This window comes from Homo sapiens, chromosome 21 (genome assembly GCF_000001405.40).
Source record: "Homo sapiens chromosome 21, GRCh38.p14 Primary Assembly".
NCBI lineage: Eukaryota > Metazoa > Chordata > Mammalia > Primates > Hominidae > Homo > Homo sapiens.
In genome coordinates, this window is record NC_000021.9 from 15,708,405 (window position 1) to 15,709,594 (window position 1,190).

General features: G+C 44.5%; 1 non-coding gene across 1 annotated transcript; it reads left to right on the forward strand.

Annotated features, from left to right (window-relative positions):
• Positions 1-254: 254 nt before the first annotated feature.
• Positions 255-363, forward strand: LOC124905073 (small nucleolar RNA U13). Its single transcript, XR_007067952.1, has one exon. It is a non-coding gene; the product is annotated as a small nucleolar RNA U13 (small nucleolar RNA).
• Positions 364-1,190: the final 827 nt, after the last annotated feature.

A 1,190-nucleotide genomic window follows, 5' to 3' on the forward strand; every position in this document is an offset into this window, starting at 1 on the left:
AGGTCAGGCGTTCGAGATCAGCCTGACCAACATGGCGAAACTCCATCTCCACTAAAAATACAAAAATTAGCCAGGCGTGGTGGTGGGCACCTGTAATCCCAACTACTCGGGAGGCTGAGGCAGTAGTATTGCTTGAATCCAGGAGGCAGAAGTTGCAGTGAGCCGAGATCGCACCACTGCACTCCAGCCTGGGTGACAGAGCGAGACTCTGTCTCAAAAAACAAAACAAAACAAAACAAATAAACCTCACCCCGATCCTTTTGTAGATCATGAGCATGATGATTGGGTGTTGACACAAATATGTGAAATGTGCCAGCCTCAAACCTTCTTATGACATCAGATCAGCACATGACTCTGCTGGGAAGTCATTAATCCATTATACATTAAGTATCTGGAACTTTTCTGGTTAAAACAAATATATACCTATATCTCTAAGAGATATTATTCTTGATGTAGGTCAATTTTATAGGTCCTGAAGAGGAAGTAGTGTACCGATGTTCAAAATGATGTCTGGTCAGTGATGGTTGTCCAAACACACACACACACACACACACACACACACACACACACACACACACACACACACACGGGGGAGGGGGGAGAGAGAGAGTCACTGTGTTACCCAGGCTGGAATGGAGTGTCTATTCACAGATGTGATCACAAGTCCCTGCAGCCTTTGACCCCTAGACTCAAGTGATCCTTTTGCCACAGCCTCCTGAGTAGCTGGGACTACAGGCACACACCACCATCCCTGGCTCAAACACTTGATATTAGTCTAATACCAGTAGCCAGACAGGCTAGAGGAGGGATGAAACCAGCTTTGTCTATGTAGTAGGGAACGTTGAGGATCAGATACCATTACAACCCTAACTGATAACACAATCAGCTATCACAATCTTAACAGTGACTTGAGGTAATACGTATCTTCTAAGTTAATGTGGGAGAGAGGTGGGTTTCAGGATAAACTGTAAACCGCTCATTCTTATGAGACTCACTTGAGGAGGTTTCTGGACAAGCTTCCACATTGACTCCTCACTCACATGGAAGTTGTTTCCAGCACTTTGTGAAGTCTCCCATAAAACATGTGAAACTCCATCAAGTAGTAATAAGAAATGGAAGGTTCACTGAAGATGTTGCAGAGAGAAAGAGAAGATGCCATGTCACACACCACACAGCAGAAATTTAGGCAA